Source organism: Homo sapiens, chromosome 1, assembly GCF_000001405.40.
Source record: "Homo sapiens chromosome 1, GRCh38.p14 Primary Assembly".
NCBI lineage: Eukaryota > Metazoa > Chordata > Mammalia > Primates > Hominidae > Homo > Homo sapiens.
In genome coordinates, this window is record NC_000001.11 from 180263481 (window position 1) to 180285081 (window position 21601).

General features: G+C 47.3%; 2 protein-coding genes and 1 long non-coding RNA gene across 11 annotated transcripts in view, besides 2 other annotated features; 1 reads left to right on the forward strand and 2 right to left on the reverse strand.

Moving 5' to 3' along the window:
• The window catches only part of LHX4 (LIM homeobox 4), a 50610-nt gene extending 35106 nt beyond the window's left edge, over nt 1-15504 (forward strand). For 3 of the 4 annotated variants that reach the window (XM_011510105.3, XM_011510106.4, NM_033343.4), the window contains exons 3-6: nt 2912-3114; nt 7900-8054; nt 8355-8526; nt 10705-15504. In XM_011510105.3, the coding sequence (XP_011508407.1) occupies nt 2912-3114; nt 7900-8054; nt 8355-8526; nt 10705-11099 (925 nt within the window). In that variant the 3' untranslated portion in view covers nt 11100-15504. Of the gene's footprint in view, nt 1-2722; nt 2774-2911; nt 3115-7899; nt 8055-8354; nt 8527-10704 lie in introns of all 4 variants that reach the window. The other variant, XM_011510108.3, reaches the window with a different exon arrangement.
• Nucleotides 5214-5508: an enhancer, noted in NCBI's record as "tiled region #8966; HepG2 Activating non-DNase unmatched - State 23:Low, and K562 Activating non-DNase unmatched - State 18:Pol2". NCBI's record gives its function as "activates a minimal TATA promoter and a strong SV40 promoter by Sharpr-MPRA in HepG2 and K562 cells {active_cell/tissue: HepG2 | K562}" and the evidence as "EXISTENCE:reporter gene assay evidence [ECO:0000049][PMID:27701403]".
• ACBD6 (acyl-CoA binding domain containing 6) overlaps nt 6173-21601 on the reverse strand; it is a 232925-nt gene continuing 217496 nt past the window's right edge. For 3 of the 6 annotated variants that reach the window (XM_047432080.1, XM_047432081.1, XM_047432085.1), the window contains 2 exons: nt 17826-17906; nt 6173-11932 (listed from right to left, as the gene is read on the reverse strand). The gene's annotated coding sequence lies outside the window, so the exon portion shown is untranslated. Of the gene's footprint in view, nt 17907-21601 lie in introns of all 6 variants that reach the window. The other 3 variants (XM_047432083.1, XM_047432082.1, XM_047432084.1) reach the window with 3 other exon arrangements.
• Nucleotides 6183-11201, reverse strand: LHX4-AS1 (LHX4 antisense RNA 1). The gene is made up of 5 exons (NR_037642.1): nt 11171-11201; nt 10457-10632; nt 9858-9918; nt 9133-9212; nt 6183-8491 (listed from the first exon to the last, which is right to left on the reverse strand). It is a non-coding gene; the product is annotated as an LHX4 antisense RNA 1 (long non-coding RNA).
• Nucleotides 8034-8961: an enhancer, noted in NCBI's record as "H3K27ac-H3K4me1 hESC enhancer chr1:180240649-180241576 (GRCh37/hg19 assembly coordinates)". NCBI's record gives its function as "activates a minimal SCP1, AML or CMV promoter by ChIP-STARR-seq in primed H9 embryonic stem cells {active_cell/tissue: H9 hESC(primed)}" and the evidence as "EXISTENCE:reporter gene assay evidence [ECO:0000049][PMID:30033119]".

Below are 21601 nucleotides of genomic sequence, written 5' to 3' on the forward strand. Positions count from 1 at the left end.
TGTGGGCCAAGGAGGTGCTGCATGCGGCTCCCTCGGCAAGGGTCCCGCTGGCTGTGCTCCAGGGGAAAAGGTAATGAGGAGCCACTTCCACTTCCCTTCAGTATAAATCCCACAATCAGGAAAATTGCTTCAATTGCTAAAAAACGCTGGTGGGGAAGTCCACTTATTTTTCATTTTTCTTGTGCACTTGCCACCCTCATGCATGAATCACTGTCGGTATGTAGATTAAATTTATACCCCCGTTATCTTTCATGTCTCTGGTGTGCTGGTGTCAGCTGGGCCTCCGGTGACTGAAAGCCCCCTGCCTGCTTTTTAGTGGGAGAGAGTGTGGCCCCTGTGGAGGAGGCTGCTGAAGGGTCTTCCCTCTGTTCCGGGGTCTCCTCTCAGCCCTCCTCTCCTTGGATCTCTGGTTAGGACACATTCTCCAGATTTGCGTGGTTTGTTGGGAGGGTTCGCAACAAGCATGATGAAAGCCTTGTTTCATTTTAATTAATTAATTTAGAGACAGGGTCTCGCTCTGTTGCCCAGGCTGGAGTGCAGTGGCGTGATCTTGGCTCACTGTAGCCTCAACCTCCCTGGGCTCAGGTGATCCTCCCATCTCAGCCTCCCAGGTAGCTGGGACTACAGGTGCACACCACTACACCCGGCTAATTTTTTGCATTTTTTGTAGAGGCAGGGATTCACCATATTGCCCAGGCTGGGCTCAAGTGATCCTCCTGCCTCAGCCTCCCAAAGTGCTGGGATTACAGGCGTGAGCCACCACACCTGGTGCCTTGTTTCATTTCAGTACCTGCTTTGCAAATTGGCTGGGATTGGATATTAAATATACAGGCCTTTTGAAAACACTCTCTAGTAACACATGTGTAGGCTTCCTTTCTCTGTTATACACACACACATAACACACACACACACACACACACACACACACACACAGTAGAGGTGGGTGCCTGCCAGCCTTCCTCTTTGATCCAGGTGATGTGGTTACACAGCAGTTGTGGAGGACCTGGTTCTCACCTGTGTTCTGGGAGGTCTAGAACCATCCAGAGCCGACTGTGTGCTTTGTTCTACATCCTCAGGTTCGGCCATCTCCGTGCACATCCTCTACAAGTATGGTGCTTTATCTGCTGATTTATTTATTCAACAAATATTAACTCTACTTTCCTGGGTCCTGAATCCCTTTAAGAATCTGATGAAAACCCAGGTCCCCTCCTGAGGCACAATTTTGAACAACTTAGCAGGTGGTTTACAGGCCTATGCTGACCCTCACGCAGAGAACTCCTGCTCTAAATGGGCCCCATCTCTCTGAAAACCAAGAGGCATTCCAGGAATTCAGAAGCCTGGGGTCCTCCCAAGCCACCACCTCTCAGCCCCTCACACCCCAACACCCTTCTTATACCCATCTCAGAAGAGTGTTCCCTGAAGTACACTCTGGGTCTTTCAGGATTACCCATGCAGACTTAGAGAACCCCCACTTTTCTCTGGGATGCTGTGTCCCTGGTGGGGGGCGTCTGAGGCTGCTGCTGGCCATGCCTATTCCGGGCCCCCATAACCCCCTCAGCAGGTATCATTACTGCATAACAGACCTATCATTCTGCATTAATCTGGTATTCATCATGATAGCCATGACCATAATTAATTTATTTGGTATTAATGTGGATGAAATATGTACTGTCCTTTCAGGGGAAATCAGGCTGCCTATAAGCATTAGTTAAAAGGACCATTAAAATCAAACCTTCCCCAGATCCATTAGGCGAAGTCTTTCATCCTGAAGAAGATAAAGTTCTGCTGTGTGAAATGTCATGAATAATTAGGTTGATTGCTGTTTTAAACTCTGCCCTTGCTTTCCCAATGCCTCCCGCCTCCCTCCTGAAGCGGGGAAGGCTCACCTGCAGCCACGCACCCTCCTTCACTGTCCCTGTCGGCCCCCAAATTTCCCTCGTCTCCTATGACCATCGGTGTGCCTCTGTTGATCTCTATGACCAGAATGGGGAAAGGGAGTGGAAACAACCCCACTGGACGATACTTTTAAGTGTCAATTTCTCCTTCCTTCCCGGCCTTGGCAGGGGGTGGCTTGCTTGGTAGAAGCTGCCTTGGTGGCAGCAGGTAGCTTCCTTTTGCCTCGGTGTTGTTCTGGAAAGGTGCTGACCAAGGAGAGGTCTGAAGCAGCATTTTCCAAACTGTAATCTGCAGACTCCTTGTCCCGAATGCTGTAGGGGCTGAAAAGTGCAGCTTCCTGGGCCCTTCCCAAACCACCATGCCCCAGGCTGTGTGCGTGCATAGGAAGGGGATGGAGGTAGGCTTGGAGGGCTTTGTGTGTGCAGAATGGAGGTGAGGGGAGAAATGGAGGCAAAGGAGAGAGAACAGCTGTCAGGACAGCCTTGCTCTGCTGACAAAGTGCATTTTCTCTGCAGCGTGCTGTCCCCTGGCCAGGCAGGGCCTCCTCCCTGGGAGTGTGTGAAAAGGTGTTGCTGGGTGCTTTCTACACACAGCCTGTGGCACACACAGTTCCCTGTGAGGATGTCCTCTGGGATCAACCATAAGGGTGAGGAAGCTGGGAGGTGGAGGGGGAGACAGCCTGCTTTGAGGGACTTAGAAAGTCCACCTGCTCCCCCTGTGAATTGATGGGTGTTAATCGGGCAGCTGGAATCCGGGGGCATCAGCTTTGGAAAAGGTACCTGAGGGAGACTCTAGTTCTCATCAGTCCCTTCTTTGGTGGTTGAAGAGTCCCAGGCACAAAGCAATGAAGCTAGATGGAGGCAGAGAGGACCAGACGGTAAGCTCTGGGTGACTGGGGGGTGAGGCTCATGGAGTCCCGGAGTGGTGGGGTAGGAGGGAGGCTGCTCCAGGAAGTTGGGGGAAGCCAGATCCCTTGCTCCCTGTGTGCCCTAATCCTTTCCTGCTGCCCTGACAGGCGCTTCGGCACAAAATGCACGGCCTGCCAGCAGGGTATCCCCCCAACCCAGGTGGTCCGCAAGGCCCAGGACTTTGTCTACCACCTGCACTGCTTTGCTTGCATCATCTGCAACCGGCAGCTGGCCACGGGGGACGAATTCTACCTCATGGAGGACGGGCGGCTGGTGTGCAAGGAAGACTACGAGACAGCCAAGCAGAACGGTAAGCAGCATGGCCCCGCATGGTCCCCTCTCCAGGCCTTTGTTTGGGCCACGCCCTCTGCCTGAGGTGCCCTTCTCATGGCGTCCCACCTGCCCATCCCTCAGAGCCCTACTCATGCACCGCCACCTCTGAGAAGCGTCCCAGATCTCCACACTGAGAGTAAATGCTGAACACCTCCCCGGCCGTTAGCACTCGCCGGCTTCATGGAAGTGTTCATCCAGCCATGGTTCCTGAGAGCCTGCCTGTCTCCATGGTAGGCTCAGAAGCAGCCAAGAACCTGGTTGTTACCATGGTGGTGGCCTCCTTCCCTGGGTGGAGGCTGGGGTGCTGAGGGGTGGCTGGGAGCTTGGTCTGTATTGGACACGTGGGGCTGCCGCTTAGTTTTGCACATCAGGGTGCACATGGACCTCTCAGCAGCCCCTGCCTCAAAGGCCGTCGGTGAGAGCCCAGCACTGGCCTCTGCACACTTCATACATCTGTCTGTTAATTGTGTTCTGTTCGCCTCGCAGACTGTGGGCTCCTCTAGGGCAGGGCCTCCTGGAGTTTCTGCAAGTGCCCAGTGAGTGCTAAAAGAAGAGGCAGGACACATGCCAGATTCAGGGAGGCTCCGTCTCAGCAATATAGCTCCCTCCACCCACTTCAATATAGCTGCCCCCACCCCCTTCACCACAACCACTGCAGGGCCACTGCCCACGGTGGCAGCAGGAGCTCTGCATGGTGGAGGCCGAAGTCAGGTCCCGCATTTAGCAGCCACGCCTGGAAAGGCCTAGCTTGGCCTGGCGGCAGCGGCTCTCGCCCTACATGCCATGCGCTTGGGCAGCCCGGGGACTTTCCAGCGTAGAGCCCAGAACAACACATTCCCCATGCTCCCCTCGCAAAGCCAAGGTGGACACTTTTATTCCTGCAGCCCTACCTCTGGCTTCTCACTCCCAGATGCACCCACATGGTCGTGGGGTCAGGCCCTGGCTCTGAATTTGGGATTTGGCCAAACCCAACATGATAACCTCAGAGGTGTGAACGCACAAAACATCAAGTTCCTTGGCCTTTGACTAGAATTTTGATCAACTCAGGGTGTTACTGTGCAAAAACGGCTCTTGTTGACAGCTCTGGGCTTGATGAGAAAAAAAATTAACAACAATTTTATGTATCTCCTTCTAGATCTTTTCTGGGCCCACACACATATTATACAGATCTCATCAATAATGGAGAAACTGGTTTTTTGTTCATTGAACACAGTATAAAATAAGGGGATTGTGGTGGTGAGGAAGCAGAGGGGATTCATAAGGGCCCTTTAGGTGAGCCAGCTGGAGCTGGGTTTGGCTTTGGTCCATGGCAGGAGTGGGCAGGGCTTCCTGTCTCTTTGAGGACCTTCCCTCCCACCACCCCCACAGCTCTGGCCTTTCAGGGTGGACAGAGGCCTTTGACCTCCTTCCTCCAGAGACCTGGGGCCTCTGCAAACCCATCCCAAGGCTCTTTGCCTGCAATGTACTAATCTGCTCTGGTTTCTTAAAACTCACTCCATGCTATTGCCTTGAAGTCAATTGTGATGTCATGGGAGATTAGGGCAACTTGTCAGGGATGAACCATCACAGCAGATGGACTCAGAGATACCAAGACACCTTTGGAAGTCTAGTGCCGTTCATCAGAGATACTAAGATGGCACGACCTCCCCGGCCTGCAGCTGGTTCTCATCAGAGGCCTCATTTGGACTCTGAGCACTCTCAGCTCAGCATCTCCTGATGTTGTGGGTGGTTCAAGAGACAAGAGAAACAGATGTAGATTGGTCAGAATCTGGCTGGGGAGGTGGGAATGACATTGTGGTGCTCACAGTTTTATCGAGGAATATTTGCACCACAGCAGACCTCTGCAGGATGATGGAAGATGCCGGACTTGCTGTCAGAAGCTGGCTGGGCATCCCCCCACACAGGGAGATCTCCTGGCAAGTTGTAGAACTGGCTGACCCTCGGCTTCTCAGCTGTCTATGGAGGATCATAGCATCTGCCACGTAGGGCTGTTTTCCTGAGGTTTAAATAGGATGAGGCTTGTGAAATGGGATGTGAAATAAGAGACTGACGTGGAGGAGAAGTGCAAACAGGGAGGTGAGGTGTGCTTGAGGTTTTAAAGCAGCGGAATGTTACACAGTATTTCTGGCCTGTTCCCCGGGTCCTTTCCTGACCCCACCCTGGCTGTGAGCAAGGCAGGGCTCCTCTGTCCTGGGCAATCGGTGATCCTTGGAGCAGCGGGGAGTTCTGTCCACTGCAGAATGCCTGGCTGTCTTTTCAGGTTGTTTTAATTCCTCCTTGCTACTCTCAGCCCTCCTGCAGGCTTACAGTTCCCTCCCATTAGCTAAACAAAGGATCTCAGAGCAGTTACTTGCACCTTAGTGTGAATGATTTTGTTCACTTGTTCCGTCTCCCTGGATATTTGCATTTTCAATATAATGAGGTTGCGTTTTATGCCAGGGACAAGTTCTAGGAGACCCTGCATCATTCAAAACTAACATATTTTAAGACTAATTTTCCTGTAGGAATTAATGTAGAGTGTGTGGGGGGGGGGGTGGTATATTCTGAGAGCACATAAATCCATAACCAGTGAAGTGTATCTTTGCCTTAATGCTACTTTTTATTTTCTCAGCATTATCTTGAATACCTTGCAGAACGCTCTCTCCTAAATTAACAGCCCAGGGTATCATGGGCTCCCTTGGCCTTCCTCATAGCGTTTTGTCACATTTAACTTCCGTACCAAAGTTATTGATTTTTGGGTACATTTTTCAGCACGAGCACTGCCACTGCTACTTAATGAATACTTGGATGACATTGTTATGGGATATAAAAAAGATTTTAAATTATAATAACAGTGAATGTTAAAATAACAGCATATTAGTCCCCATCATTGCAAGAAGAAAATCCTGTGTGTGTAGCAGTGCCGAACCAGCGGGCCACCAACCAGGATGACGGGTCTATCCCAGTGGCGCTACCATCTGGCTGTGGTGAAAAGAATTTATAATTCCGTAGGCCAAGCTATTTTGAAATTAAGTGATTCTCGAGAAATTAAAACATTTTTGGTGATTGCATTATTTCACATTTTTTAATATAAAGATTGTACACAAGTGCACTATTTCCCATTTGCATAATTCAAAGTTGCATCAGACACTCCCGTGTAGACTATAAATATGCACAGAAGGGACAGACTCCTCAGAATGAAAAGGAAGGCATTTTGGAGGTTCCCCTTTGTCTTTTGGAATGACTCTCTAAGTAGTGTAGTCTCTGTGGCAGGGGCTCCGGAATCCCTACCCTTCGGGTTCAGGGCTTCAGGGAGGGAGTTGGGCCACAGTAGTTCCGGGATGACAGTGGCCACGTGAGAGAAGAAAACAGCCCGAGGAGAAGGGAAGGCACGGGTGTGTCCCCCCTCACTGTGTACACACATGTCCTGGCTGCACAGCTGCTTCATTCCTCTAGTGCCTCCCAAGATCAGGGCAGGCCGTGTTGCCCTCTGGACTTCCAAGGGGGAAGTGAGTTACTGGCCCAAGTCACTCACTCATCAAGAACACTGAAGCCAGGTCTGCTGACTCCAGGGAGAGCCTTGTAGATTGTGAGGACCGAATGCATATAAAGTCCTTAGTCAACACCAGCACATGGTAGGTGCTAACACATGTTGGCTACTATTGTTTCTAAGAGAGGGTTTTCTTGAATGGAAAGAAAGGAGAAAAGACAGAGAGGAAGTCAGGAATGTCACAGAGACACCTTCTGGGGCACACAGGTGAGCAAGCACAGAGAGCAGAGCTGCCCAGGCCAGCTGCTGACTTTATTCCGTGTGTCCTCCAGGGGCACTGTGGAGAAAAGGGCAGTATGCCTAAGTGCTGGGAGAGGAAACAAACCTTTACATTCACCTGTGCTTCCGAACACACGCACGCGCCTCTCTCTGTACCTGACTTTGAATGGAACAAACCAGACTTTAACTAACAGGAACTTGAGCTTGTTCACTCAAAATCTGTCTAGGACTTTGTGTTGATCAGTCAGTGTGTTGCCCAGAACATTCCTTAGACTAGTTTTCTCAAAAAATTTTGACTACAATCCACAGTAAAACTCATTTTACATTTCATCTCAGTACACATATTTATACAATAAAAACTAAAGTTTAATGAAATGATCTTGCCATTCCATCCCATTCTCTTCATCTGATTTCCTGTTTTAGTTTTGATCCACTAAGGTGACTTTACAGCCCACGAGTGGGTTCTGACCTATAGTTTAGAAACCTGCTTAGACACTGTTGGGTGTGCAAGCTCACCCCTGGCTGTGAGCCCAGCGACGCCAGGGCAAAGGTGACATGGCTGTGGGGAAATGGGAGACTCCTGATGAGACAGAGGGGAGGGCATCTGGGGCGACTTTGAACATGACTTCAACCTGGCTGTTCACCTTCACAGCTCTGGCAAGAACTCATGAGGATGTGTGAGCAGAGTGTTTGTCATGACAGGGACGTGTGGAATTGGGTACATTCAATCTGATGAGACTTCTGTGCAGCTGGGCTGGCAGGGGAGGGTTGAGGCAGGGAGCTGAGCAGAGAAAGGACTGCTGTCCTCACTTTTCAGTGGCTTGGGAAGGCCCGTGGTGCAGGAGTCAGTGCCATGAGAGTGGGGACCTCTCCACTCTGATGTCCCCTGTGCCTCGCGCTGTCCTGCCTACAGCAGGCAGGCTTAGGTGCAGAAAGGATGGAAGGGAGGGTGTGGGAGGAGGCGCAGCTGCTGCAGATAGGCCGAAGCCAGTAAGCAGTGGTTTTTCCTTGCAGATGACTCAGAGGCTGGAGCTAAGCGGCCCCGGACCACCATCACAGCCAAGCAGCTGGAGACATTAAAGAATGCATACAAGAACTCCCCCAAGCCTGCCCGGCACGTGAGGGAGCAGCTGTCCTCAGAGACAGGCCTGGACATGAGGGTCGTACAGGTGAGATGCCAGCACTCCTGTGCCCTCCGGGGATCCCAGGCCCGGGACAGGGGTGGAAGGTATCCTGAGTGACATCAGCTCACGGGTGGTTGGGCTCAGGGCTTGACCCCAGGGCTTTTGCCAGAACTGAAGACAGAGTTCTGAGGCCCACCTGGGGAGAGGGGGTGGGGCGCATCGCACTCCCAGACCTGTGCTCCATTCAGGCTTCAGTCTGCTTCCAGCCGCCCGCCTAGGGGGTCCTGGGGGCTTTGGGTTTGTGGTGGACGCCCCCTGAGTATGTCCCTTGTGCTTGTGTGGCAGGTTTGGTTTCAGAACAGAAGGGCCAAAGAGAAACGCCTGAAGAAGGATGCAGGGCGGCACCGCTGGGGGCAGTTCTATAAGAGCGTCAAGAGGAGCCGGGGCAGCAGCAAGCAGGAGAAGGAGAGCTCTGCAGAGGACTGTGGGGTTAGTGACAGTGAGCTGAGCTTCCGAGGTGAGCAGGGCTGGAGGGGCCAGGCCGAGGCCTTAGGAAAGTCCCCTGGGAATCTGTAATCCCTGGCACTCAGGAGGGATCTTTCTTGAGGCCTTGGCAACTCCCTCCTGAACACAGGCTTTTCCTTAAGACTTGCAGTGAAGGGTGGGGGAAATGGTAGTGGCCCTTTACCATGGGACAGGAGTAGGAAACAAGATTGCTGAGGTCTGGAAGCTGGGATGGGCCAGGCCCCGTCCTGTGGCCCCAAGGTCTCCCCTCCCCTCCTGCTGACTGGGGCCTCCCTCATCAGCCCACACAGCTATGAACAGATGACTGGGTTCCAGCCTTGTGCCCCTAGCCCCTCTCCCATCTTTGTCCCCTTTGCTGGGACACTGGCCTACTCCCATAGTCCCCTAGAGCCACCCCTTCCTCCAGTCCTGGTGGTGGGGAGGTCATGCTCCACAGGTTTTTTCCTGGGAAATCAGTACTGTGAGTGCATGTGAGATGGGGAACTGGCTTCACTTCCGAAATCCCTTTCCCCACCACTCACTTCATTCTGTCCCCTGCACACAAGCTTTGCAGCATGCACTATATTCAAATTCATGCATCAGCAAAATTGTAAATTACTGCATGTTATGAATCCTCAGGTTGTTTGCAAAGAATCATAACTGTTCTCAGGTACTGAGTTCTCAAATGTGGAAGGTCTTCTGCGGAGGGGGAAAGGGAAGAGTACTCAACTGGCGATCAGAGACCTGGTTTCCAGTGCAGCTCTGTCAAATCGATTCACTTCTCTTGAGCCCCAGTATTCCCAAGAGGAATACCATATCTTTGCCCATCTCACTGCGTTGTGGGGATCAATGAACACAACCAACTGTGGATGTGCTTGGGGAAAGCCTGGCACATTTGTATACCTGGAAGGCATGATCGTTCCCACAGGGAGCGTGTGGCTCCCGCAGAGGGCCCTGGTCATTTGGGATGACAGGTATAGGGAAAAGGCTAACTCATGGCCATTTGACAATGGAGTGGAGCCTTCATCTTCCTGCTCCCTTTAAAGAGCATGAGCTCCCCCCACCATGTTTTTTCATAAGGGGAATGGGGGGCAGGCCTCAGAAGGGATGGGGTGTTGAAGTCTAGTCTGGGGAGGCCTTATTTAGGGATTGGTGCAGAGGCCCAGGTGGAAATAGAAAAGGAAGTTTGTGGGACAGAGGATGGAACAAGTTGCCTGCCAGGACAACGATGCCCTGGGAGGACTCTAGTTCAGCCCAGAGGTCAGCTGAGCCCTAGAGGGCAGCCTCCTCTGAGAACACAGGGCCCGTGAGGCCTTGGGGACAGCTCATGGGACTAATACTCACCTTTTAGGCTTCTTGGCAGGATTGGGAAAGTCAATCTCATCTGGGCTGTTGAAGTCAACACCTAGAACATACTGGATTGTTAAGCTCATTTCTGTTGGGTGCAGGTGGGTCCCTGGGCTGACCTATCATTGGTTTCTCTGGGAATAATTTCTCAAAGACTAAAACTGCTCACCTCTGTTGGAGAGAGAAATTCTTTCAAGTGGCAAAGATTCCATTAGATCCCCTTAATGAAATTCTTTAAGAAAAAAGAAGGTTCATTTGCCTTAATCAAGTCAATTCTTTGTCCCCAGTGAAGAGCTTATTGAATACAGACAGAAACCAAGTCCTTTGATATTGAACCTCTCTTCCAGATAGACCAGAAGGATTTTGTACAGATGTCTAAGAGTGGTCCTCAGCTTCCCTGACCATATGGGCCTGCTTGCTTCCCAATCAACTAAACCAAGCCCTTTCTCAGCTTGAAAGCTTTCAGGGTAAATGTTGTCAGCATGTAGTTTCCATTTGTGATGTGGAGACATCTGACCCACCCAGCCTTAGGCATTCATCCTCCTCAGTGTAGCCAGAGTATTAGTACACGAGCCACAAGGGACCAACGAGCTCACCAAACATTTGTCCATCCTTCTGGGACCTGGGAATTTAGTCTTTGCAGGTGTTTCTTGTTTTTCTCCTTGGCCTGGGTTGGCCTCTGGATATCAGGCTGCCATATTGGTGTGTCTGACCCATGCTTGGCTGCAAGGCAGCTGCCATCCTTGGGCATCTTTCCTGGTCATGTGTGTTCCTAGGTTGTGAAGAGCAGGGGACCATCAGAGTCCTGGCAGCTGACAATAAATCTCCGTTCTTTTGTCCACAGAGGATCAAATTCTCTCAGAACTTGGCCACACCAATAGGATTTATGGCAACGTGGGGGACGTTACAGGCGGACAGTTAATGAATGGGAGCTTCTCCATGGACGGGACAGGACAATCCTATCAGGACTTGAGGGATGGGAGCCCCTATGGAATCCCCCAGTCTCCATCCTCCATATCGTCCCTGCCATCCCACGCTCCTTTGCTCAATGGGCTGGATTACACGGTGGACAGTAATTTGGGCATCATTGCGCATGCAGGGCAGGGAGTAAGCCAGACGCTGAGAGCCATGGCTGGGGGACCCACCTCTGACATCTCCACAGGAAGCAGTGTAGGCTATCCCGACTTTCCAACTAGCCCAGGCTCTTGGCTCGATGAAATGGATCATCCTCCTTTTTAAACTTCTCTCCTCCCCACCCTACCTGCCCCCCTGGCTTGAGAGAATATCTTCAAGGATCAAAAGAGACTTGCCTTTTAAGGATCGAAAGTACGCCAATGTGAATTTCCATTATTTTCAATGGAAGTCCTCCGCTGATTCCTAGAAGGCTGTGAGACCACACTAGGGCATTGTTTCCCTGGGGAAGCAGTGGGAGAGCAGACTCATCTCAGAACACAGCACAGGGGGTAATGGCCTAGAGCTCTAGGGACACTGGCTTGTTGGGTCTCTCCCCTGCTGTTCTGCTTAGGGGCTTGGCTGCTCAGTGCTTTGGTAGCACAAGGTGACTGTGATAGGCCCCCTTGGCCTTTGGGAACTTTGCTCCAACTGGTGTGTCTCACACAATGCCTCCCAAAACACTGCTCTCACCAGAACTGAGACTCCTAAGGTAGAGGCCTCACAGCCCTTGAGTAAAATAAAAGTGATTTCTGGACCATCCTTATTGAACCCTATATTTCAAAATGAAAAGATCAGTTATTAAAGGTCAGTGAACACTTTGATGGCCAGTTTGATATTAAAAACATGCCCCCTCCTTTTTTATTTTTGCTGTGAAGATATGAATTCTTTCCTACAAACCAGAGAATATGAACCTGTTTTGGTTTTTAAGTGTCCCATCTATATCATTGACTCTGATGGCAAGAGGTGGTTTTCATTGCAGGTGACTGAGGCTGAGCTGAGTAGCCCTGGACCACCGCTGCAGATTGCCTGAGTCGTCCCCTTGGTGCACAGTGTGCCTTCTTCAATTGCTTGTATCATTTATTCCACAAGACAGGCTGTGGGCTGTAAAATGAGCAAAACTAAAATGTGGGGAGAACAAAATGACAATCAATCAGTGAACATTTGTAGACACATTTGGATTCCAAACCTGCAGTCTGTTCAGCCATATCGGCTGATGCCAGTCTTCCAGAGTTCCCCATCCCTTGTAGGGTGAAATATTTGGAGTCTGTTTTGAAGGAGTTGGTTTAGATGAGCTTGCAAGTCTACCCCTCTGAAAGCTTTCTCTGCTGTCCTAGCTGACTCAATTGGAGGACAGTTTTGGTCATTTCCAGGAACCAGCAATTTTTTTTTGGCCTACCTTGGTTGGGAAGAGTAATTTAGGGAGCAGCCCTAAAATTGTCCAAAGGGTTCTAAGTGGTTCTTGGGCTGCATCTCTCTGGATTGCTGGCTGGACACCTGCCATGCCTTGGGCTGCAGTCCCATGGTCAGAAAGCCAGAACTCTCTGGCCAGTGGTGGTGCAGGGACTCCCCGTTGTGCAGGTTTGCAGTAGCAAATCACTAAGCCTGAGGCCAGAGCAAGGCCAACCCCCGCTTTACGAGTTGCCACTCCTGCGACAGACTGCACTGCTGTGGGAAACGCTGTCCTGAATGGTGCTGCAGCTCCCACCCACCTTGTGCACCCATCTACCATCAGGAAGCTCTCCATGTGCAAACTGGAATTTAGCCAGCTGGAATTTATTCCTGTCCCTCTGGGAAGCTGTGTTTGCTTCTTCTGGCCTCCCATTCTCTTAAATGAGATCAGCAGAGTAGGAAAGGGTGAGAAGGCATTGCCTATCACATGAAGTGATGGGGCCAGAGACCCTAAGGACCCTTCCTTCTACGAATGGTTGGTCACCTTTTGAGGACTGCAAAGACTTAGGCATGTCATAGGCAGACTAAAGGAAGAATACACAGTTCCTCTTGGACTGCTACATCTTTTGTAAGCCCTTTTCCAGGACTAAACTAAGTTCAATTAAGTAAGTTCTTTAAAACAGTAAATTCCGGGATCAGCCTTCGGGCCCTCTTCTCTGACCAATTTTATAGCGTACCCTCGTTTTTTGGTGTGCTGCAGTGGTCATGATTTTTGCTTGAGAAGTCTGCAAACATAGACACTTCTCTTGAGGTTCCATGTTTATGGATGATGTTGTGTTAATCCTAGCCAATTCTGTGCTATTGGGAATTCTCCAATCATGAACACTGGGGTGGGGAGGAAGACACAAATGCCATGTGAGGAAAGGAAAATGCAGTCGTCTTTTTGGAGGATGGCTTTTTAAATACACCCTTCTTAGCAGGCTGCTTAAAATACACAGGAGAAAAGGCTCTGCTGGGCAATGAACCAGATGAAAAGCTGCCCACCCAGATCACTGTTGCAGGTTGACTATTTGGCTTAGCAACTCATGGGATTTCAGAGGCCCTTGAAGTTTTTGGTGAGTATAGTGTGGGGGAGAGCAGGCTTTTTAAAAGGGGGGGGGGCATCCTCCTCTGTGTAGCACTGTTTAAGATCACTGTAAGTAAGTTGACCAGTTTTTGTAAGTTAATCATACTAATTCCCAGTTCAATAGTGGAAGGAGAGGCCTTCCTCATTTATACTAATAATATAATAAATCTCTTGAGGAACTCAGTGAGCAGTTGACGAGGTCAATAGTTCTTTGGCATCAGTAGGGCTGGTTAGCTGGAAAAACCCTTGAGAGCACTGGCCTGAAAACCAGGAGAGCTTTGTTTTCCAGAGCCACCTCCCCAGAAAGCAGCAAACACTGCTGCCTGTTTAGAAGCACAGCCACAGTAGGTCTAAGATTTTAAATGGATCTCCCTACAGGTTGGGTTAGCATTATGGGTGGGCTGGTGCCACTAATGAGCCATTGCATGACAGGACTCTTCTGGGGTTTGGAAATGGAGAAAAGCCGGGCATTCATTACTTTTAGCTTCTCTTAGAGGCACTCCTCTGTTGCTTGGAAGTCTATTATGGGGTATAAGGTGCTACATGGTAGCTGTTTCCCCCCTTGCTAAAATGACATGGATGAATTTTAAAAATGAAATGAGACCTTCTAGAGGCAACCATTATCTGCAGTGCCTGGCTGGTCGACTTTAGAGTAGGAAGCTCTTGAATCCAGGAGCAAATTAGTTAAAACCCCAAGTTCCAGTGGTAACTGGTATAAGCAAAATGGAAACTGAGGGGCTATGGAGGAATCTCTGTTTGTTGGAACGTAATGAAACCATGGAGGAAATACCAGATTTAAGGGCTAAGAAGCTGGCCCGATGGGTAAATCAGTGTTGGGAGTCAGGTTCTTGGCCCTTCAAGGACTTGCTATGCAACCTCAGGCAAATTCCTCTCAGTCTTTGTGCTTTCTCTTTCTTGTCTCATCTGACAGTTATGAATATAACGTAAAATAAAGATCAACTATCATTGATAACACTGTTCCTGCAAATGAATACTGTGAAACATCAGGGAAAGAGGAAAAAATTAAGCCACAAGAAAACCATTTGGCAGTGTCCTTAAACTTTTTTTGGGGGGGGGCAGTGTAAAACATGAAACCTAGTAAGATAATTGGGCCATTAGATCTTCATCATTAAACTCACTTTGCAAGGAAGTGTAAGAAATCTGTAAAACAAAAGACATTCCTATCTCAGAAGCTCAAACTGGTGATTTCCAACTGCCTCTTTACAGGAGGGGGCTCAAGGCTTCTGATGAGCAAAGGCTGTGTGTTGTATGACAGTCCACTCTCTGCACCTACACTTCCACGTGCCACGACTGACAACTTGGTTATAACCATGAAAATAATGACCATACCTCCCCAGCCAGCAGGGTCTGGAAGGCCTGAGGAGGCTCATTTTTAAACACTGCACTTTAAAAATTGGAAACCGTGAGATGAAGAAAAATTCAATTAAGCGGAAATGAGTTTTGTTTTATTGCCTGCTGCTGAAGGGCTCTGGGCATGCTGAAAGCTAAATGAAAAGCACATCACTGGCTCTCTTCTTTCTTGGATTGGTCAATTGGCCCTTTTTGCAGTAGTTGCTCCAACTGTTCTAAACAGTGAGTGACTGGAGCCAAAAAGAGAGAGCTCAGCAAAGCCATCCCATCCACACTCTGCTTGGTAGGACCACACTAAAAGCACAGTTTCATGCTGCTAGCTCTGGTAAGGAGACAGCTGCAGGTTTGGGAGGTGCACCAAGCATTCCTTTGCTTAGGGAGGCAGAGCACAGGTGAACAGAGGAAGGACACCCCCACTCTCATCTATTGCCCACCGAGAGGCAAGAATCACACCAACTTTCCCACTTGAGGACTGTGTTCGGCCAAACAAGCAGGTTCAGGGCTGCGGGATTCCAGAAGTTGCTCTGAGCTTGCAATCAGACCTCAAAGCCCCAGATCCCCTCAGCTCTGGATCGTTGCCCTCATCCTTCACAATGTAAATTTTGTACAGTTAAAGAGAAATGAAGTCTCGTTTCCTGGGGAAAAAAAAGAAAAAAAGAAAAAAAAAAGACCCACCCATCCTTATTTATTGCCATATGACTTTGGAAAACAGAAGCTGGTGCGTTTGTTTGTATATGCCTCCTGTGTGTTGGCATGAGATGTGTACGGTAAAATTATGTAAAATAAATATGGAAATTCTTTAGATGCTGATGTGTCTTGCTTTTCATTTGGTTTGCTGGAAGTTTTTTCTCTTGACATAAATAGAATAAAAACTGAGTGATGTGAGGTCCTTTCCTTTTATCATCAGAAGGAAACCAAATATACAACTCTGAATGCCAGAACTATTATACTTAGAGCCATGAAATACCAGAACCACTCAATAAAGGACTGATTAGAGGAAGTTCCCTGGTTTTTCTAATAGTCATTTCCTGGGCACGATCCTCTGCCCCCAGACTTAGGAAATGAGCAGTAGAAATGTTGACCATATAACTTTTAGTTCCTGTTTGTTCAGTGGCATTTTTAAAATTTTTTTTTGAGACAGAGTCTTGCGCTGTTGCCCAGGCTGGAGTGCAGTGGTGTGATCTCAGCTCACTGCAACCTCTGCTTCCTGGGTTCGAGTGATTTTCGTGCCTCAGCCTCCAGAGTACGTGGGATTACAGGCATGCGCAAACACGCCTGGCTAATTTTTTGTATTTTTAGTAGAGACGGGGTTTTGCCACGTTGGCCAGGCTGGTCTCGAACTCCTGACCTCAAGTGATCCGCCCACCTGGGCCTCCCAAAGTGCTGGAATTACAGGTGTGAGCCACCATGCCCGGCCTGTCCAGTAGCATTTTAAAAGTCCTTCACACTCATACATTTTTCTTTCTAGAGAAAGTATATGCAAATGTCTATATTTACAGAGGGACAGAAACACCTCATCAGAGTCATCAGGGCTCCTGGACAAACATTTTCCAGGAGAATCTCCATTTAGGTTTGTTTTCTCTGCAGGAGTCTTTATTAGTGTGCAGACCCTAAGTTTAGCTGGAATGGAAACAGCAACAGGGACTTTTTCATTACATTAAAAAAAAAAAAAGTCATAGCATTTCTTTACAGCTGGGATTCCACTGTGGAAAAACTACAGCGTGTTTCTTTTCCCCACTAGTCATTAGTTTTGTTTGGCTGAAGAGAAGATCCAAAGCAGTGGCACTGTCCAATATGGTAGCTACTAGCCACACATGGCTATTTAAATTTAAATTAGTATTAAATAAAACTAAAAGTTTAGTTCCTTACACTAGACACATTTTAGGTGCTCAACAGCTTCATGTGACCAGTGGCTACTGTATTTGGACGACACTGATATAAAACAGTTCTATCATTGCAGATGGCTCTACTGGACGGTGCTCATAGAGTCTTGTTAGGGAGAGTGGGCAAGGAAATCTCATTCATCACATGTTTAGCTATTAGTTATCCTGGAATACTTGGTGAAATATTCTGAGACTCCTTAGACAGTAGCAGTGCCAACTTCTCTGCCACCTTATTGTGTGTGTGGCATTTCCCTCTCCCCCTTTGTTTTTTCTCCTTTCCTGGATAGAGAAAACTTAAAAAAAAAAATGCACTACATAGAACAATTTACTTAGGTACAAAGCAGGAGGTTGGGCTCTGGACCTCTGAGTTCTCTAATGCTGCCACTGGGTTGTTGTGACTTAACCTAAGTCCTACAACTGCTTTGTCCCCTAAAGTCTACCCACTTAAACCGGAAAGTTAGTACCTCCCAGGCAGAATGCCCAGTGGGATTCTTGGAGGGATTAAAGGTCTTTTAGTGGAGACCCCCTCTGCTATCAAGGAGAGTCATGACCCTTTGCCAAAATCATCTCCCGCGTTAAGTGCTTTATTAGGCTGAGAAAGGCAAGAGATCTTACTGGGTTATATACCAAGGAAGGGTGGAGAAGATGAGAAGTTCAAATGGGAGTGAAGATATTGGTAGGGGAATACAGAAGGTGCTGTACATAAGGTCTTTTTTTCTTCACTAGCCCAGTCTCTTGGGTGGTGGTTAGGGAAATTCACAATGTGGCTAGGAAGGGCTCTGTTGCTCCTAAACTTGGTTACTCATTGCTGAGGCACTGGTAATGGGCATGAGAATTTTGGCTAGTTTATGCACTATATACCATGTTTTTGGGTAGCCTAACTTGTCTTCCATTCTCAGCCCCTCATCACCAGCCTATGTTGCATCTTTCTTTTCAACATACTATCAACTGTTTTTGAGTATAGCAGGTTCATTGGACCGCTTCCACTTTATCCTCTAGTGTACACAGCTTCCACCACAATGCTAACCTAGTAATAACTTTTTGGGATTATAAAATGGCTGCAGCTCACAAAGGAGAGAAGATCTGGTCCCCGCAACAACAACCCCCTTATTTTAGTTTGGTCACTGGAGACTGGCACCTGAGCAGTCTGATTTTCTTTCTGACAGTGGTTTTCCAAAAAGACAGCTGCTTAAAGAATAAAGGAAAGATATCACTAGCCAGAAAGAAGTAAGCAAGACTCACTCAGGAGAACAAATGGAAGCTCCGCAGTCGGTGTTCCATTGCTTTCCTGTCCTTTCCCCTTGGGCCCAGGATTCTACTCAGCTAAAATCACAAAAGGAAAAAAGAAATGAAAGGCAAGTCAGTGTGTTGCACATTTTAACTGATGGCTAAACTGCAAATAACATCTTGAGAGGTGATCCTCAATGTATCTGCATGTATTTCCTAAGATTTGTTATGTGAGGCACAGTTTAAAAATTGTCCTTTACAGTCTGAAAGTGTGTCCTTTGCCACACTTGCTTAGAAGAATGCTATTTCATTTTTATTCAGAATTCCTAGTGCCTTTCTTCATAAAGCCCCTTTGCCTGGCTGTGCAGGGAGCACTGATCAAGCTCTGTATGGATGATTATTTGTCTCATGACTGCCACAGGGAAGTACATAGTTCAGCCACTACTGTGGAGAAGTATTGAGTTAGGAGGGAGAAAAAAAAAATCAATGTTTATAAAATGGGGCCAAATCATTAGGAAAAGGGAAATTTTATTATCATCCTTCTAAAAGGAGTAATACAAATAAACCATCCGAAACTATTAAATAAAGGTCTTTTAAATGATCAGCTCCTGCCCGGGGAAGAGTATATCACATCCTCTCAGAGAAAGCAGACGTGGGCTTCTGCATGTAACATCTGTCTCTTTTGATTTTTTAATTCATTTTCTTCTGTCATTTTTGCCATTGTGATTTCAGGATTTTCCTTTAGAACCCTTTCTTTTTGGTGATTTTTCCTTTAGCCATCTCCAAAAACACAAAAATTGAATAAAAGTATTACACACAAACTGGTATGTTATTCTGTAATTAAATTGGGCAAGTTACAGGGTGTCCCTGAACTGGTCAGAACTTACAAGGCTCATAGAGGCTGAGCTGCCTCTAGAGTTGTAGGAGAGGCTTTTTTAAAAAAATTAATGATTTATCTTTCTCTTGCTTGCCAACCCTGGACCAGGATCTCCTGTTGGCTGGGAGGGGTTGGGGATTTGGGAAAGGCTGGGAATTGCTTTCTGAAAGATAAAATATAGACCCAAAAAAGTGGTCTTGGCACACATTTGGAGTTGGAAATAAGCAGTTAAAAAAAAAGAGCAAGAGAGACCATTAAAATGGTAAATAGATTTCAACAGATGGCTTCTGCACAGCAATGGAGAGCCCAGGCAAGAACTTTGGGGTTAAATCTCATATTTTAGTCACCTGGGACTAGTTTATTATCTCAGAAAAACAAACATCCATAAAGTTGACAGCTCCCTCCCCTCCTCTGAAGTGGAATCCTTGAAGGTTGCCTCCTCACTGGCCAGCTGCCTGCAGATAGTGGCTTAGGGAATTGAAAGTCACTTTTTCGACACCTGTCAACTGCAGGGCTTAAAGCTGGAGGAATACAATAACTAAGAAACTACATTACTGGTGGGCCAGAACTTCTATACTCAGTATGTGTGTGCTGGCTTTAAAAAAAAAAATCATTGTAACATTTAATGCTCCTCAATTAAAGTGATTCCCTGGAGTGGATGCCAAGCTTCGTTCAGAATGCGCATTAACCACTTTCTGTATCGGTAGTTAAAGGCACTGAGGGATTTAAACAGCAATGCACAAGTCTGTTCAGTCAAGGTTTGGTGGAATAAAGCAGATTATAAACAATAATATATGTCTTTCTGTTTTTTTTTTTTTTTTTTTTTGGAAGGGTTCCAAACTCACAAACGGAGCTAAAGTGCTATAAACATATCCAGGACTAAGCTTTGGGCTCCACAAATGTACTCCATGAAAGCCATGGGCACAGGAAGTGCCACTTTTTATCCTGTGTGTGTGCATAAGCTTGTACTTTAAAAGAGCCTTTTATTACACAAAGTGTCCATCAACTGAACTTACCTTCTAAATATTAAAATGGAAACCGAGATTGCTACGCAAGTGAGAGGAAAAATAAATCCTGCTTTTAGTGCGTATAAATGTGGCTGCTGCCTAGTACAGTCCATTGGAAGTCACCTGTTGACTCCTTAATGCCCTCATAGTCCCACATGTTCAGCCACTGCATCTAGTAGCATTAGGTTCAAATGGTGACTTTCCCACCTCTGAGAAAAACCCACCCTGAGTGCCTAGAGCTCCACCATGAGACAAGTGCATGCTGTTGGGCAGCTCCTCCCCTGGTTTTCTCACCTGGTTTTTAACTTCCGTATTCTATCATTTAGGAATAAAATCAGCAAAAGATTCTGTCATGCATAGAAACCAGTCTGTAACTTGTGAACACCCTGACCTGGTTTTTAGGACCAGGAATACAAAGGAAGGAATAGTGTCCCCAGAAGTAATTCCAGTACATGCATCCCATAAGAGAGTGAAAAATGTGAAATAATTACATTTGTTTTGTAATTGTGCTAAGAAAAAGTGATACAACAAAACACACGAAAGAAAATTTTGAAGAATTCAAGTATAAAAGAAAAATACAGGTTGAGTATCCCTAATCTGAAAACCAAAATCCTAAATGCTCCAAAACCCAAAACTGTTTCAGCGCTTACATGTCAAAGGAAATTCTCATTGAAGCATTTTGGATTTTGGCCTTTTGGATTAGGGATGTTCAGCTGGTACGTATATAATGCAAACATTCCAAAATTAAAAAAAACACCCAAAAAACCAGAAATCAAGCATTTCGGATAAGGACTCGTCTCCCTGGACTAAGAAATAAGCCGTGAATTCCCAATAACTATACATGATTCATGCGAAGTGATCCATACAAAAATCATGACAGGAATATTTCAAGGACAAGTGAATAAAGATTAGGTTAAATAGCTTTACCTGTTCAATCCTCTAGTGTAATGCCAATTAATGCATATTTGAAAATTGACCATACTTGGTGCATAATAAACACTGGCTGACAAGCATAAGAAGGAAGCATATTTTTTCTTGAGTCTGATAATCACTATACTTTAATCCAACATCTCTCTGGTGAAGAAATTGTGAATGATTACTAAAGTAATTAAAGATACTCAAGGTAAAAGTTCCAATAATAATCGTAACAACTTTTCAAATCACATGATTACGAAAGATGGTATTAAGGTCTTTTTTTTTTTTTTGAGAGACGGAGTCTTGCTCTGTCATCCAGGCTGGAGTGCAGTGGCGCGATCTTGGCTCACTGTGACCTCTGCCTCCCGAGTTCAAGTGATTCTCCTGCCTTAGCTTCCCAAGTAGCTGGGACTTACAGGCATGCGCCACCATGCTCAGATAATTTTTGTATTTTCTGGTAGAGATGGGGTTTTTCACTTTATGTTGGCCAGGCTGGTCTCAAGCTCCTGACCTCAGGTGATCCGCCCGCCTCAGCCTCCCAAAGTGCTGGAATTACAGGCATGAGCCACCGAGCCTGGCCGATATTAAGGTCTTTATGGTATAAAACGAAAGCTCAATGTGTATATATAAAATCCACCAAGAGGCCTGATAATGCACCTTTGAGTATGGCTGCTTTTGTTTTTGCTTTTGCTTATCCTGATAACATAGTTCAGAGAAGCTTTTGGACTTGATATGAAAGGCTTGCATAATTACCCTGATTTTGAATAAATAAGATCATGTGGCCAAGCCTGGTGGCTCTTGCCTGTAATCCCAGCACTTTGGGAGGCCAATGCGGGCAGATCACTTAAGACCAGGAGTTCTAGATCAGCCTGGGCAATACAGGGAGAAAAAAAGAAATTAGTTGAGCCTCGTGGTGTGCACCTGTGGTCCCAGCTACTTGGGAGGCTGAGGTGGGAGGATTGCTTGAGCCAGGGAAGTCAAGTCTGCAGTGA